The 17856-nt window shown below is 38.4% G+C and overlaps 1 protein-coding gene and 1 long non-coding RNA gene across 14 annotated transcripts in view; both read left to right on the forward strand.

Annotated features, from left to right (window-relative positions):
* Positions 1 to 17856, forward strand: part of TAFA1 (TAFA chemokine like family member 1) — a 554078-nt gene that overhangs the window by 249289 nt on the left and 286933 nt on the right. The window lies entirely within an intron of this gene.
* Positions 5786 to 17856, forward strand: part of LOC107986019 (uncharacterized) — a 72345-nt gene continuing 60274 nt past the window's right edge. For 2 of the 7 annotated variants that reach the window (XR_001740445.1, XR_001740444.1), the window contains exons 1-2: positions 5786 to 6973; positions 9960 to 10079. This is a non-coding gene — a long non-coding RNA (uncharacterized LOC107986019). The remainder of the gene's footprint in view (positions 6974 to 9959; positions 10080 to 17856) is intronic. The other 5 variants (XR_001740446.1, XR_001740448.1, XR_001740447.1 and 2 more) reach the window with 5 other exon arrangements.

Consider the following 17856-nt stretch of genomic DNA (forward strand, 5'->3'; position numbering starts at 1 on the left):
AAGCAGACATACCTCCTTTTATCAGTCTAGGCTTTGCTGTACAGAGACAGAGAGCAACTTAACCATGGACACAGAATGGCAAGTAGCATTAAGTAATTCTGTTTTGACCACACTTATTTCTGCCAAAGAAAGCTTTGAGATGATAAAATCAGCTCTAGTGTGGATATTTTGATATTTTTATTTGATTGAGATTGGGGAAAAACACCACTATAGATATAAATCGTCACAGCATATTTTGGGCTTACCTATTTAAACTAAAGAATGAATTTTTTATGTCTTCACAGTGGTTAGGTCAGTTATCTGCGGTTATAAGAAAAAAATTAGGGTTGCAAAATAGTACTTATATTTTTCATAAAATTGCAAATAAGAATAATTATTTCATACTAAAAGTTTTGGTACTTGACCTATTGGAAGGAGTATAAAATGAATAAAGTCTGTCTCTATTGCAGATTTAAATAGAAGGAAAAGAATGCAGCATTTGCTTGGTGATGTTCTGTAATACTTTTCCAGATACCCTGAGATTAGCCCAATTACCTTCTGGGGATGTTTTTGGACTAACAATACTATTTCCACAGGAGACTCAACATATAATGGAAGAAACTGTTGAGAAGTCCAACTCTTCAAGACTTTTTAAAAATTGTGTTTTCAGCTTACAAATGAATCAGCGCAAAGAGAAATAGTACTTTAGAGTGAAAAACAGAACACAAATCCTGAACTCCAGCTAAGTGTGCTTTTCCTAGGCTGTATGAAGTCACTTCCCATGGTGCCTTGGGAGCAACATTGTTGCCTTTTAATTTCCTCTGAATTGGATCATCAGTTTTCCTTATGACTTTCTTAAGACAAATGACCCAGCTTTTCCTCCTCTTTTCCAGGCAATGGATAGATGGCTATGAATGGGCAGAGGAAAGGATGTGTGGCAGGCACACTAGCATCCCATTTAATGCTTCATTCAAAGGTTTTATTTTTCATCCGCCATGGATGAAAACCCAAAAAGTCCATTTCACTTTGGAGCCAAAGCCAAAAGCAGGACTAACAGAAAGCGCAGGGTGTGAGAAAGACATAAAATCTGTAATTGGAAAATCTTGAAGTTTTGCAAATTATCTGAATAGTGCCACATAAAAATTTAATTCCAGAGATTTCGTTTTGCCCTTCTGTCATGTTAATTTTGTTTTGTAAACTATTAGCTCTCAGCTTTGGCCTGACCAACACCTTGCCCTGCCTAAGTCTGCAGTAATACAGCCTAAAATCAGGTTAGTATACTAGCAAGATGCATATACTTTACACAGCTTCAGATGGGAGCTGGTAAGAGCTTTTTGTTGAAATGAATGAGCTTAGGAGATCCTCTGCAAAGGTTTAGTCCCTTCTCCTGCCCTGCTTGTGGCATTATCCTAAGTCCATCTGTGACTCTGTGTTTAGGTAAGAACGTTTCTAATGAACCCTTCCAGTCTATTACATACACCAGAACTAATAAAGTACTCACTGATCCTTTTAAAAGTTTGCTCTGTTTAAATAAATATTCGTAGACTTTTCTTTGCACAGTCTAAACAATCCTTCTTTTCTTAAATATTAAAAATGTGACATATGAAGCAACCATGCCAACTGGTTACAAGTTCTAAATTAGCAGTGTCTAAATTAATGAGGTTTTACTGTATATTAAAGTATAATACATCTCTAGCACCTGTGCCTGATGAATTTTTGTTCCTAGCAATTAGATGTTATTTAATTATAGTTAGAGTCTCTCACATCACCTAGTTTAATTGCCACATTAAAAACTATTTTGAGAGTTGATTTGCCTAACATCACAAATTTAGTTTGGGAACTGAAAATGCCATTTATTTGTCCTACTTAAGTGTTATTGGTAAGAATTAAGTGCAGGCATATATTGTTATATAAACTGTCATTTTGATGTAGACTACATAGCATATCTGTGTGTGTGTTGTATGTAACACTTAGCATATGGTGACTCTTAAGTAATGATGTGAGACGTGTGTGTGTGTGTGCATTGGAAAAAGTGTGATGAAATAAACTACATTTTTTTATCTCCTATTTCCTAAGAAGCATTTTAAGTTGATATTTATCCTCTTGAACAGAGAGCAGAAAAAAGATCAACTTATCCCTGATGGATTATATGATTGTATGATTATTAGTCTTCCCTGGATTTTGGCTAAAAACTAGATTTGGGGGTGGTGATTGGCACTGGATCATATATCTTAATCATACCAGTGAGCTTTATCTTTCTTTAATGATTTTTTTTTTCGAGACAAGGTCTTGTTCTGTCACCTAGGCTGTAATAATCTCTTTAACTTTTTATTTTTAAATAATTATAAATTCATAGGAAATTACAAAGAAATGTACCAGGCTGTCTCATGTACTCTTTGCACAGCCTCCTCCAGTGTTAATTAACATCATGCATAATACCAGTATAATATCAAGGAATACCAGGAAACTGACATTGGTAAAATCTACAGAGCTTTTACAGTTTTTACCAGTTATACCTGTACTCATTTGCATGTGTGTGTGTGTAGATCTATGCTCACATGGGTACCTTCATTAACCATCCTCCAGAATTACGATATTTAATGTAACATTGCCACAGGGCTTCCTTAAGCTACCCCTTCATAGCCATACCTACACCTCCTCACCCTCTGCCCTGCCCATCACAACTACTAATCTCTTCTGACTCTATATCTCAACTACTATATAAATGAAATCATATCGTATATACCCTTTTGAGATTGGCTTTTTTCATGCAGCGTAATTTCCTTGAGGTTCATCCAAGTTGTGTGTGTCAATAGTTCATTTCTTTTTATGGCTGAGTAATATTTCAGAGTTATGGATGGACCACAGTTTGATTAGCCATTCACCCATTGAAGGACATTTGAGTAGTTTCCTGTTATTGACCATTATAAATAAAGAGACCATGGACATTCTGAGGAAAGTAAATTTTAACTTCACTGAGAGAAATACCACAGTGTGCGATTTCTGGGTGGTATGGTAAGTCCATTTTTAATTACTAAAGGAACTGCCAAACTATTTTCTAGAGTGACTATACCATATTACAGTTCTAGCAGTTATGTATGAGCAATACAGCTTTTCTGCATCCTCACCAGCATTTGGTGTGATCACTCTTTTTCAGTTTGGTCATTCAGATATATGTGTAGTGAAGTCTCATTGTGGTTTTAATTTGCATTTTCCTAATGTCTACTGAGGTTGAACATCTTTTCGTATGCTTGGTTGCCATAGAAATATCCTTTTCAGTGAAATGTCCATGTCTTTTACCTATTTTATAATTAGGTTGGATTTTGAAAGATCTTTATTCTAGGTGCAAGTCCGTTGTCACATATGTGATTTGCAAATATCTTCTTCCAAACTCTAATTTCCCTTTTCATCCCCTTCATGGGGTCTTTTGCAGATCAAAAGTTTCTAATTTTGATGAGGTCCAACTTATCAATTTTTCCATTAATTGGTTGTTGTTTTGATGTCTAAGGACTCTTTGCCAAGTCCTAGGTTTAGAAGATCTCCTATTTTTTTTCTAGAGATTTTAGTGTTTTATCTTTTAGATTTATGACCATGATCCATTTTAGTTAATTTTCCTATAAGGTGTGAGATTTATGTTTATGCTTATTTCTTTTGCTTGTGGATACCCAATTGCTCCAGCACCATTTGTTAAAAAGATTATGTCTCCCCTATTGAATCAAAGAATGATTATTTTATTTTATTTTTTGTAGAGACAGAGTCTTGCTATTTTGCCCAGGCTGGTCTCAAACTCCTGGCCTCAAGAAATCCACCCACCTTGGTCTCCTAAAGCGTTGGTATTATAGATGTGAGCCACTCTCCCTAGCCAGCATGATTTATTTAAAGGTACATAGTCCTTAAATAAACTACATGTCCTGCATAAAAATAATTAGAAGTATTTGAGCACCCACCCTGTGCCAGGCATATTTCTAAGCACATTCCCTGCATTATTAACTGATTATTATTTGCAGAAAAAAATGCGTGCAGGGTATTGTTATTATCAACATTTTAGAAATATGGAAGCCAGGTTTTGGAAAAATTAAGTGATTTGCCCAAAGTCATAAAGACAGTGTGACACAAAGTAGAATCCATGTCTGTCTAACTTGAAAGCCTATAATATGCTTAGTAATAAAATGTTTTCTTACCAAAGGAAGCTCAGAATTAAGGCTTTTCATCTATCAAGCCTTTATTTTGTTGTATAGTCAGGACCGATGACCTCTTTAGAAGACCCTTAAAAATACGTTTTTTCTATCTCAAGAACTCAGCTGGAGGTTTGGAGACTGGTTACGAAATTTGACCAGGCATTTGACATATTATCTATGTCCACTTTAAAAAATAAAATGGTAGTCTTCATCCTGAATCAGTTTTTGACAATACACTTTGTCGTGCCAGTAGTTACGGCCTGAGCATCTAGCACAGTTTTGCTCCCTTTTACTTGGTTTGTATTTAACAGAACTTCTTCCAAAGCTGTGTTGATTTTTAGCAGAGGCCATGTAGCTAAGGATGACTTTCTTTATTTATTGAGTCTCTAATTCTTTTTTAAAATCTTGATAAGCTATTTTCCCAGATATTAACCTGTAGTAATGTTTTCTTTGTGATTTACATGTTACACCCTCAATTTACATATATTTCTACTGTTCTACTTTTCATTTCATGGAGGCTTGCATAGATATGGATACTAAGACAAAGTGAACAAGAGGGTCACCTGATACCATATGTTCCTTGGAAGGGGATTGATAGCAGAGTTTTACCGTAGTTCCATTTTCTTTCATAAACATTTGATACTTTGGTCACCTTTAGCAAATAGAAAATGTCATGGATAGAGCAAAAATCAGAAGATGAATTGCCTTGCTTCCTCTACTGATTACTTGCTAAATGACCTTGAGCAGCTTCTAATTCTAAACCTGCCCATCCTGCAAGTACAGATCACAAAGGAAATCAATGTTTTGCTCTTGAGGATTAGCTTTTATTGTCTTCGTGTTTTGCGAAATGTATAAGCTGGTCTTTTGGAAGCAAGAGGAAATATGTTGGTCTTTTACAAGAGTCATAAAAGAGGGCTCATCTAGGACAGCCAGGGTAATAAAGCGGGTATGGTATAAGACACAGGCATAGGTAATAAAGTGACTCAAAACAGTCTCCAATAATGCAAGCTCCCTGAGGACAGGGATCTGTGTGTTTTGTTCCCTGCTCTATCTTCAGAGTCAACGACGATGTCCGGTACCATCCTCTGTCTGCTATTTCCATGCCTGTTTCCACATCTCCATGTGGAGCTTGCAAGGTAATGAAATGAACCTTGGAACTGTTGGCATCCGTTGCCTTCATTGTGTCCAAACAAACCTCCCAGGGGTCCCAACCATCCTGGGGAAACACACCTGAACCAAGAATAAAGAATCTCTAATAATCTTGTTCAATCTGCTTTCAGTCCTTTGGTCTCAATATTTTTTCTATAAATTGAGAAGGTGGCCGGGCGCGGTGGTTCACGCCTGTATTCCCAGCACTTTGGGAGGCCGAGGCGGGTGGATCACAAAGTCAGGAGATGGAGACCATCCTGGCTAACACGGTGAAACCCCGTCTCTACTAAAAATACAAAAAATTAGCCGGGCGTGGTGGCGGGCGCCTGTAGTCCCAGCTACTCGGAAGGCTGAGGCAGGAGAATGGCGTGAACCCGGGAGGCGGAGCTTGCAGTGAGCCGAGATGGTGCCACCGCACTCCAGCCTGGGCGACAGAGCGGGACTCCGTCTCAAAAAAAAAAAAAAAAAAAAAAAAAAAAAAAAAAAATTGAGAAGGTAACTACGGACTTCATTGGTCTATTGTTAATACATAATGAGACGATACAGTGAAAGAACTCTCCAAATGACAAAGCACTATCTCCATCTAAGAATATCGCTTCTGTTGCATCATAGTGAAGTAGTTCCACAGGTGTTTCTGCTCGGACTGACTGGTTCAAATCTCGGCTGTACTGCCAGGATTTAAGACACTTTGAAAATGGGCAAAGCCTCATTTTTCCTAGGTCAAAAGGAGTTCAAGATTGGGGAAATCTGAGGATTCAGAAGGATGATAAATGTTAGAACATGGAATCAGGGTGCTTAGATTCTTGGTGCCTCAATTTCTCTGTCAGTTAAATGCCGTATGATCAAATGACTCTTTTCTCATTGGCTTGATGTGAGAAAGAAATGACTACATATAATAATCAGCAACATTCCTGGCACATAGTAAACATCGATGTATTATTATTAATACCTCCACCTACGCTATATACTGACTCTCTATCCTCCCTCTCTTCCTCCTTCCCTGGATCTTAAAAGATGAGTGTGATTAGAAACAAAATTTTGTTGTGATAAAGTCCACCTGAATGTTCCCTCAGATACTAACTAAATCTCTTTCACATGCAACCTTTGGACAAAAGTCTCTTCCTTTTTGCTAGGAATTTTCCTATTTTTCTCATTTCTTCTCCTCCTGCTTTAGGAAAGAAAAAAAAAGCATATGCAAGAATTATTTTTTCTTCTCCCCAGATGTCACCAGCACTAACACCTGTCCTAGTTCCAGCTCTGGTGAACTCCAGCAGACCTGCTCAAGTGGACAGCATTAGGGACCTTGTCAGTTTTGCAGTGCTTTTTGCCTGAAGCCACCTCAGGTCCCTCATGCTGCAGGTATGCTGAGGGGCCTGGAGGTGACAGGCTGTTTTGCACCCAGGCACACTGAGGCCCGGGTGCTGCAGGGCTGTAAGGGTGGCCGTACTTTACTCTCTCCCAACTCCCCCACCCGTGTCATTTTTATTTGTACTTTATAAATCCTTTTCACTTTTGCAAGTTCCTTTTGGCCGCAATCTGAATGCAGTCCTGTATGGGATAAAGGAATATCATAAGTATATATTTTTTAAAACAGCAACACGATTCATGACTCTGTTGCAGAATGTGAAGGAGCAAGTCTCTCAATTGGCTAATTGAATCAAGCTCTGGTGAGTATGTTGAGCTCTGAGCTCTCCTGAAGTTGGGCTCTGAGCCTGAATCAATTGGTCTGATCTCCCTTTCTCTTTATTTGTATAGAAATGAGTAGGAATTCTGTCTGTGTTAATAATGTAGGGTAATTTTGGAAAGGTAACTTAAATTTCCAGGCTATGGTTTATGTTCATAAAGTAAAGATAATTTGAATATTGAACCACTGTTGGCTAAAAGGCAGAATTAGGTGTGACCTCACTTAGAGTACTTAGTTGCAGACTGTTGGGGGAAAATTCTCATATTAAGGTTTAGACTTTGAGAATAGGGTGATTGTGAGCCTTCTGTACATAACTGACTTTCAATACATGCTCATTAAAACCAAAAAAGCTAAATGATTCAAACACTAAAAATATTCATCGTGTTAATTTCTCATAACCTTTATGCAGTGGCAATATTGCATAAATATTTGTTTGTAAAGTGTAAGGTCAGGGCTTATTTTATAATGCAAGAAATCCCCAGTTTGGTTAATACAAAACCTTAACAAGAACCAGTAAGTAGAAACACTTGATAAAGCTATATAATTGTAGATCATTAGTGGGGAAAAGACTTCAATTTGCCTTAGGCTTGATGTTTCTAGAAATAAAATTATTGAGAAAAGATTAAGGATGAGATAAACCATTTGGAGGAAAAGAAGATCATAAAGTGATAGAAACCAGATCTTAAAGTAAACATGTTATTACAGTTGACCTGATTGGTTGGAAGACAATGTACGGTAAATGCACCTGACAACAATAACTTAAGCATACCCTGAGAATGACTCTGTATGGCAGATGCACCTGAATGTGTGTTCAGAGCTGGGGAATCTGGGAATGGCAAACCTGGAGATGGGCTCCTTATCTATGATAAACATCTGAGTCCTGAGTTTTGCGGGGTGGGTGGTGGGCGGGGGGCGGGGGGCGGGGGCTGGGGGTGGGGTAGGGAGGGTAGATGAAGTTTGCCAGGTGCAGGTCATTAGGGGAGGGTGTTAAGTAAAAATGCTGTATAAACTGCATGATGTTTGCAGGCAGTTGTAGTTTTCCTGTCCAGCCCACAGCCACTGGACTGTAGGAAGGCGAATATGTTGTCCAGCCCATTGCCATGGGACCATTTCTGTAATTAAGGGTGTTCTCCTGTCCAGCCCTCTGCCACAGAACTCTCTTCACGGTATGAAAGCCCCTAATAAAACCACAGATCTTATTTGCTGGCTCTGGGTCTCTTCTTCAGCCTCTTGAACCTGGTGCCTTCCCTACTGAAGGTAATAGGGGCTCAGCACAACAGATCACCCACACACAGGCCACCTGCCTTCAGAAACCCAATTCAAATGGTCATAAGCACCAAAAGAAACAGATTTGCTCAGGTGACTAAAATAATCCAGGGAATAATCAGATGGAGGAATGTGGATGTTATCCCCAGGACTTGATCTCCCCTAGTCCCTGACTCTGCCTTTCCCATGTTGCCCTCACTACCGGGCAGACCCTTTCTACCATGTCAAGATCACTTTGGGAATTCCAGGCTTCAACTCCACTAGCTCAGCAATTCTACTTGGGAGAAAATGTCTTCCCCAGCTGTTTTAGTCACAGCTCTGACAACTCAGTCTCAGTACCTGGTTTGAGTCATAAGGCGTCACTGACAAAATCACAACTGTCAGGGCTTGAGATGTGTCATTTGTCCTATGTATCAAACAGCATAAGAAGAGTGGTGTTTCCCCAGAGGAAATTGAGATTCTGTTATCAGTAAAAGGGGAATGGCTGCTCAGGAGGCAAAAAAAACTTGGGTACCCTCCACCACCAATCTACCAAATCTGGATTTGAAAGGCATAGGACAGCAGACAGTCAGGACTAAGAGCAAGTCGCACCAAGAAAGAAGAAGAAAACTGAAAGGGAAAATCAGAAAGCCCTCCTGAGGTCCATTTCACCCACTCAGTCATAAAAGAGCAGAATTAAATTAAGGCTGCTAAAAGTAGAGAAGGCACACCATTGACCCAATATGAAGCCCTGACAAGGAGATTTGTTGGGTTTTTTTGTGAGTACCCTCCTGAGCCAGAGGTGGAGTGTCTCCTCTTGGGTAGACAACTTTAGTGTGATTCATGTGTTTGAATCACACAGCCTCCGAAGGCCACGTGTCTAGAATAGCACCAAACAATGAAAAATGGCTCTAGAAACATTTATTGTTCCTTCAGCTTTTTCTATCTCCCAAACGTATATTGAGACTAATTTATTAATGTTAAGTCATACGATAAATTCATTCTGGGAGGAAAAGCATTTCCAGGGAGTAACTATACGCTCTCATCACTTATAGCTTTGTCCCCGCCTCATCATCCAGGGTGATGATTTTAATCCAGACTTCTCCATGTACTAACTGTGGAACCCTGGGCAAAACTGGCTCTCTATTTGCTTATCTTTCCAAAGGGGACTATAATAGTATACCCTGCAGAGGTACACATGGCTGTTATTACTGTTTACGCATTTGGGCTTCATTTGGAGACAGTCTCAGAACTGATCTTATAGCGTAAGATTATAGAATGAGCTTATCATATAAGACATACTTGCTCATAGTATTCCAAGAAAGTGCAACACACCAATGCTTAATATTAGGAGTTTAGAAACTAAACTAGGAATCAGATTACTCCTGGCTCAGCCTGGGCCCTTGAACTAACCTCCACTGCATATTTTGTCCTCACAGCGTCCCCACAGCAGCTATCCAGGCTTCCTAGGAATAACACACAATACTCCCTATTCTCAAGAGAGTAGCTCTTTCCCCAAAATCTTGATGTACTCAGTCAGCTAAGAGGTACCTTGCATGCTTTAAAATTCCCACCTATTACTTATTTTTTTAGGTGACCAGTCTCTAAGGCAGAACAAAAATTACTTGAGCGGGGATTTAGACAGGGATTCCAAGAAAAAAAAAATTAGCTAAATTGGGCAAGCCTAAATGATCTTTTAGTCATTTGTTGTTTTTTTTTTTTAGCAATTTCCTTCTTCCCTGGAGCCTGATCCTGCAGGACAAGGATCTATTTTCAAGTCAATTACAATTCCTAAGGGATATAATTACCTACAAAATCAGCAAAGGAACCCTATTTCTCTTATGGTAATGTAATAGTAATTTTTAAAATAACTACAATACATATGATAGAAATGGCATTTGCTTTCTTTCAACTTTTCATTGCTTTTAGTTTCATGCCATACCATTCCCAAATCTCCAACTTACCAGCAAGCAGTGATAAATGGCAGCCTGTAGATTATTGTTAATCAAGAAAAAAAAACCAAAATAAATTATTAGTCTATTATACACCATTGTGGCTATTCTATTTCTCATTTGGTAACATTCAGAAGTCTCCTCAAGAACTCGGACAACAGACCCTTGAGAGTGTGAGTGGTGACAATGGATACAGACTGAGCTGCCCAGAAGCCTGTTCATAGTCTCAGACTCCAAATTCTAGGGCTCAACTCCAGTTCCCTGCCCACAGTGTGGCATTTCCTATCCTTTTTAGCTACTTAAAAAAAAGTTTGCTATGGCTATATGCTAAGTACTAAGACACATATTCTCATTTTATCTACATGCCACTTCTCTGTTAGGAGTTACAATATTCCCTTCTTTTGTCATTTTCATTTCATTCATTCATTGCATGCCCACTCTAGACCAGGCAACAGCCTAGGTGCTATGGATATAGCAATGAAGAAAACAAAGATTTGCATTTCAGTGGAGGAGAAAGACAATATGTGGAAGGAGAAAGTGAAGGAGAAAGAAGAGGGGAAGGAGGAGGAGACATCAGGGAGATGACATTTAAGCAGAGACCTAAAAGAAGGGATGTTGTGAGCTCAGGGGGAAAGTGTTTCAGGTGGAAGAACCATCATGTGCAAAGGTCCTGAGGCAGAAACAGTGCTTGTGAAGAACACAGCATGGCCTCTGTGAGTGAAATGTGCTGAGAGGGGTTGGAGGAATATGAGCTGATAGATAGTGCCAAAGCCTTGGAGGGCAGGAAAAAACACTGGGTTTCTTTCTTTTGATCAGCCATATGTAGGTGCCAGGAAAGGAGTGATGTGATTTACCTGTGAGGAAACTGAATCTAAAGGAATGTTAACTAACTCATCCATGTCACATATGTGGGAAGCCCCATCATCGGGACTCACACTGGGGTCTATGCAGTTCCCAAGGCTCAGTCATTTATAATCACAGCCCAGCTTCTCAGTCACTCAACAGATAATTCCATGTATATGTGCTCTGTCATTGCCTTTATAAAGACAATGAGATCTCTTTGAGATCTCTTCACTCATAATCTCAGTTGGCTTGTTTCTCATCTTCTTCCTTGATCCTAAATGTCAGCAAATCTCCCTCTCCAGTCACAGGTCCAATTAATTATCTCTTATGAAATTCACCAGATGTAACCCTTCTTTTCCATTGCTCCTGCTACTATTCAGGTTTCAAGTTTTGTCTCAAGTCTTGTCTGCTCTCACTTCCCAGGATTCCTGAACCCTCAATGATCCAATACTAGCCTACATGTTCAATTTCATTTCTCCTCATTCTCTCATGTCTCAAACTGGTCACCTTCAGACTATATTTTGACTATATGCTATTCTTAAAAAAATTACATCAAATTATATTACTGATATCTCTTTAAAAAATTGAATCTGACAGTACTGGGCCCATGGTCCCACAAAGCTGAAGCTGGGTAGTGGCTGCCCATTTTGGATGGGGCAAGAGCTCTCCAGTTCTCCACAGTCTCCACCACTCTGTAAAATCAGACATCGTCAGGCATCTCTCTTATCATTGGAGGCATCTGTCTTATCATTGCAGGCACTGACACAGTTAAGAATAGTGGCTATAAGTACTTTCTGAAGCCAAACTGCCTGGGTACCAATTCTGGCTCTACCACTTACTAAACTTATGTTATTGCCCAGCTACTTAAAATCTCTGTAGCTGCCCTGTAAAATTTAGGTGATATGGTTTGGCAGTGTCCCCACCCAAATCTCACTTTGAATTGTAGCTCCCATAATTCCTCTGTGTTGTGGAAGGGACCCAGTTGCAGGTAATTGAATCATGGGGGTAAGTCTTTCCCGTGCTGTTCTCATGATAGTGAATAAGTCTCATGAGCTCTGATGGTTTTATAAAGGCGAAGATCCCCTGCACAAACTCTCTTGCCAGGTGTCATGCAAGATGTGTCTTTGTTCTTCCTTCACCTTCCACCATGATTGTGAGGCCTCCCCAGCCATGTGGAACTGTGAGTCCATTAAACCTCTTTCTTTATGAATTACCCACTCTTGGGTATGTCTTTATTAGCAGTGTGAGAACCGACTAATACAGTAGGTAATTATGATAACTACCTCATATTTCTGGTGTGATGGTTAAATGCACTAATACTTATAAAAGCATTTAGAAAAAATAGCTGGACATAGCACTCGATAAAGGTTACCTTTTGAGGTTGCTGTTTATAATTCCCACTGTATACCAGGTAAGTTGGTATACTTGTCAAAATGAACATGCTTTTTACAATCCCATCTCCTTGCCCTTGCGTACTTTAATCTTGCTTCCCAGATGGTTTTCCCAAATGGTCCAGTCTTCTATGATCACAGAATCTTATCCATCTCTTAAGTAAGGCCTACTTCAAATCTCACCCATTTGTGAAACCATCACTGGCCACTCTGTATAGATATTGTTTCTCACTTCTTTCTATTTCTGCAGCTCAGATTTTGTGCACTACTTACTGCATACTCATCTAACCCTTTGCATTGCTGTTTAACTGTCTTACATTAATATTTTCTCTCTCCAGCCAGACTGAAGAACCCTAATGGTGATGCATGGCAGGTGATGATTGGGTTATGTTTCAACTTTCTGGCAGGTAGTTGGCAGCAATGCTAGATAGTACAATGATTATTTTCTGAATTCTCATGGGGAGGATTTTATCATGACATTTTTCTTGGTCAATGATACTAAATTAGAAGGTTAGATGTTTGTCTAATGAGTGCAATATTGAAACAGGTAGTATGTTTTAAATAACAAGGTTCTGGAGTTGAAACAGGTTTTGTGCCCCTTCTAATACAGGTTAATGCAGAATGAAGGTCATTATTGTGTGACATTAGTTTCAGATTGAAGGTCATTATCATGTGGCAACTGGGTTTTGATTCAGTGCTTTCCTACTTTACAGAAGCTGCAAACATAATTGGCAAATCTGTAAAAATGACTACAGCATTAGTTTCTTTGGGTTTCTGAAAGTTATGCATGGAACTCTGTGTTTCTGTCTATCTGTCTGTCTGTCTGTCTGCCTGTCTATCTATCTACCTGTCTATGTATGTATGTATGTATGTATGTATGTATCTATCTATCTATCTATCTATCTGTCTATCTATCTATCTATCTATCTATCTAATCTGTCTATCCATTGAGAAATGAGTATACTTCCTACTGGGCATTGGTCTTCAACATGGATAAAACACAGAACATGAGAATTCAATATTAGAATATGGGACAAAGACAGTGAAATAATTACTGAGAAAAATATGAAAATCAATTTCATCAAAATTGAACCACCTAAGACGATTGTTAGTGGAAGTATAGTAATTAGATGTGCTTTTTCATTAATGTCAGCTAATACCTACCTAAAATTTAGTGTAATTTCAGAAGACTTTTTTAAACCTGGAAGAAAGATACTTGTAACATCATTTGCATTAATCTCTGAAATGAAACACTTCCATATGGCTTTCATGGTGGGGAGGGGACTATAATTACTGAGGTCACTTTCTAAATAATACTACTGGAATCTATTCATATGGGAACCAAAGACATGCTGTGATGCCAAGTTATTTCCTCTGTGGAAATAAAGATAAAGGTAAGGTAAAGGAAGGGTAAAGATATATAGGAATATTACAGATGATCCCAGGATTTAACAGTAGACCTACCACAATTAAGTCCCAGTTCTCTGAAAGTGACCTTCTAGGATGTTCATGTCTGACTTTACTGTACTAAGGGCCATTGTATTATATAGGCAGAAGAGAGTAATGAGATTGTTTGATTGGTTAGAGAATGCTAAATTAATCCTGCCAGCAGTAAGCCAAACCCACAGTGCCAGCCTACACAGTACAATAAATAGAAAAGGTAATTTGACACTCTGCCCAAAAAACTAGCTTTGGAAGTAGCAGCCACTTGGCCTCATTGAAAAGTAGGGAGAAAATGAATTTTGTAATGAATTACTTGTCACTCAAAAGATATTTGGTTTACAACAGGAAATAAAAATCATTCTGAAGAGTGGCCATTTTGCCTAAAAGGAAGCAATACATCAAATAAGGGCTAGTGAAACAGATGAAGAGTATTCATTCATCTTTAGGTCATCTGCTGACACAAACAATTAGATTAAAGTGGAATGATTCAATCTGAGAAATGTGAATGGATAGAGAAGGAATAAAGAATATTCTTTAGTTCTCAAATAACTTTTTATTAAATATTATTGTTTCTCTTTTATTAGGTTTGGCTTACAAACCTATATTTTGTAAATCTTATTTGTGTTCAATTTAGAAAAACATAATCCATTTACATTTATTGGTTCGGTTCTGATTGCAGTAATCATTAAATCTGGATAATGAAAAATATTCACCAACTCTTCAGTGTACCAAGGAAGTATTGAGAATTGAGAACTTTTTTTAAGGTCTTAGTGTACAATCAGTAATCACCACTATTTTTCCTTCGATGTGACATTTATTGTGAAGGGACCTATATATCCCACTTTATTTCTGGGATTTGGAGCTAAATGTTGTCTCTATGTCCGTTCAGGTGATGCCAGGGTCAATGGCCACAGCATAGAGGATCACTAATAGAAAACCAAAGCCCATTCTTGAGAGTTTTATAGGGTTTTTTTTAATTTATTTGTTTGCCTGTTTGTTTTATGAAGGATAATGATTTATTTTTTAAGGGACCCTAGGCTTCTTAGGATTTTCTGTCTTCTGAAGATATTGACTAAAGTGTCCAAAGTGGGGATGGTTGGAGATGGGCTAATAGGAAGTGGAAAACTAGTCCATTTCTCTGGCTAACAGGCAGTTAAGTCTGTAATACACTGATATTTCAGTGTTAACAAACACTTTTAATTAACAGAAGAGAGGCTAATGAATCAATTTACTGATAATTTGTGAATGAATTAATTTGTTAATCAATCTATTTACTAATAATTGTTTCCTTTCAGAATACTAACTCTGCTAGAGTATTTATCTTTGATAAATAGATACTATTTATCAAAGCCAGAAAAGCGCATTGAAATACTTTCCAAATATTAGATTCTAACATCAGATCAGATGGCTACTCCAAGCACCTTTAGACTGAGGCATTATAACATTCCTTTTAGGTGTGAGTAGAATAAAGGAATTTTTATTCCCACTTGATATTGGATGACTCTGGAGGGAGGTCCTAGTGCCTACTTACTGAGGAGTTTCCACAGTTGTAAATACACTTCCTCACCTCAAAAAGTCTTCCTTTAGCCACAGGGGAAATGCTGCTTTTTCAATACGAGGAGTTCTCTCAAACCAGAACTTCCTTAGCTCTGAGGTGTGTCACAGTGGTCAGAGCAGGTAGACTGGCTGGGAGACCAAGACCTTGATTAGGCTACCTAACATGTTTGTGCCTTGGTTACCACATCTGTAAAGTGGGGATAATAATAGTACCTATCTCCACATATTGTAGTACAAAGTCACATTTTTAACAGTGCTTGATCCAGGATGTTACTCTCAGGTGCCCACCCTAAGAGAGAAAGGTGTCATTGAAAGAATTCCGTCTGTAAAATTATTTTGGGGTTTCTTAAATTCACATAGTCTTGTACATAGTTTAATGTACATGGCCTTGGCATTGTGTAAAATGTTATTTGGACACTCTGGAAGAAGAGGATAGCAAATTTGATTCTAGGGTTATAAGACTGGAGGGTTAATTATAATATAAATCAGTCAGGTAATTGGGAGAAGATTGGAGGAAATTTGATACATGTTTATGTGTTTATCAAGTGATTGCATCTGCTTTTCACTCTCTGCTGCCACCATCTGGCCCCAAAACCTTTGTATGAGCCACAATAGTCACATCCCTGGGACATCTTTGTGCCCCCTCCAGTCTCTTTTCCACACGGCAGCCAATATCATTTCTTATGATTCTCTACTGGTTCATGTCATTCCTACACTTGGCATCACTCATTAGTTGGACTTTGGATAAACAGAAAGCATCAAGCTCTTGCCTCCTTTCCAGCTTCATCTCATGTCTTCCCTCACTCGTAACGCTCTGCTTATGCCAGCCTTCTCTCTGGCCCTTGACTATATGGAGTTCTTTCCAGCCTCAGGGTATTTGCAACCTGCTGTTCTGCTACACAGGACATCTGCCATTCACACTTTCTATCTCTCACTCCTGCTCATCCCTTAGATCTCAGCTAAACATAACTTTCTTGGATGGCACTCCTTTAAAGCCCAGCCACCCGACCCCAGAATTTAAATTGGCCTCTCCCCATCCTTAATCTAATTTCCAACAGGGCATACTGACCTTTTCCTTTGTATAACTTATTATAATTTGTGGTGTCATGTTTTCTATATGCTTGTTTAACCTCTGTCTTCCCCAATAGACAGTTAACTTTATAAAGCCATGGACGGTGTCCATCTTTTTTTTTTTTTTAAGTGCTGTACTCTGCCTCAGACAAGATGTGGTTGGTGCTTAATTAATAGTTGTTGAATCAATGATTACATCAACAAACGAACACTTAGTATGTGACAAGCACTGGGCTAAGTGCATAATACTCATGATTTTATTTAATCCTCACAATAACCTTTTGAGTTAATTATCATTAATGTCATTCACAAATGAGGAAATAATACTTCTTCATGCAGTGAGCTTAGAAGGGACTGTTACATCCTCTAAAAAGTGGCCAACCTTCCCCTAGAGTATGGGCTAGACTCAGTAACTTGCTTCCAAGGAATAGAGTATGGAAACTGAAATGATGGTAAAAATAGTAACCTCACAGTGGATAAACTTGGAAGCCATTATCTTAACCAAGTGACCAAGTTTAACATATCCAATGATAAGTTATCATGTGCCCCCTGATTTCACCTCTGTGATTTTCTTCTCTAAAATTCATAACCCCAGCCTAACTATAAGGAAACATCAGAAAAATTCAATTTCATGGACATTCCATAAAATATCTCTTCGAAACTCTCAAGGTCATGAAACAGAAGGAAAGAAAGATGTCATAGATTAGGAGGAGGCTAAGGAGATATGGGTGCTGAAGGCAATGTGTGATCCTGGAACAGAAAAGGACTAAAGTGAAAAAACTGGTAAAATCCAAATAAAGTTTAGTTAATAGTAATGTGTCAATGTTAATTTCTTAGTTTTGACAAATGTGCTGTGGTTATATAAGGTGTTCATATTAGGAGAAGTTGGGTAAAAGGTATGGAAGGGCTCTCTGTAGTATCTTCGCAACTTTCTGTAAATCTAAAATATTTCAAAACATTTTCCTTTAAATGGCTACATTGGTTTGGAAACCAGGGCTGACCTTTAGTCAGCATACACTCGTGGTTGATGTATTCAAGTTGATGTAATATATTGGCTTCAATTGGTCAGGACTTGAGCATGGCATGTTGTTGACCGTATTGAGAATTACTAACTATGCTCCCTTTTTACAAAATTATGATCAACTTTCTATTCACTCAAAAGTATTTTTTAATAATTCTTTTCTCAGAAGAATAAGAAACTGTGTGTGACTTTAAGTCGTTCTATTTAACTGAGTGGTTACCATGGTGAATCTAAGTGTTCAGAGAATAATTTCAAATCGAAACTCCAGATAATGCTTATGCCACAGCAAAAGAAAGATCAGCTGTCAATGGTGTGGTTTCTCAGAGCCACATAACAAATATAC

Source organism: Homo sapiens, chromosome 3 (assembly GCF_000001405.40).
Source record: "Homo sapiens chromosome 3, GRCh38.p14 Primary Assembly".
Lineage (NCBI taxonomy): Eukaryota > Metazoa > Chordata > Mammalia > Primates > Hominidae > Homo > Homo sapiens.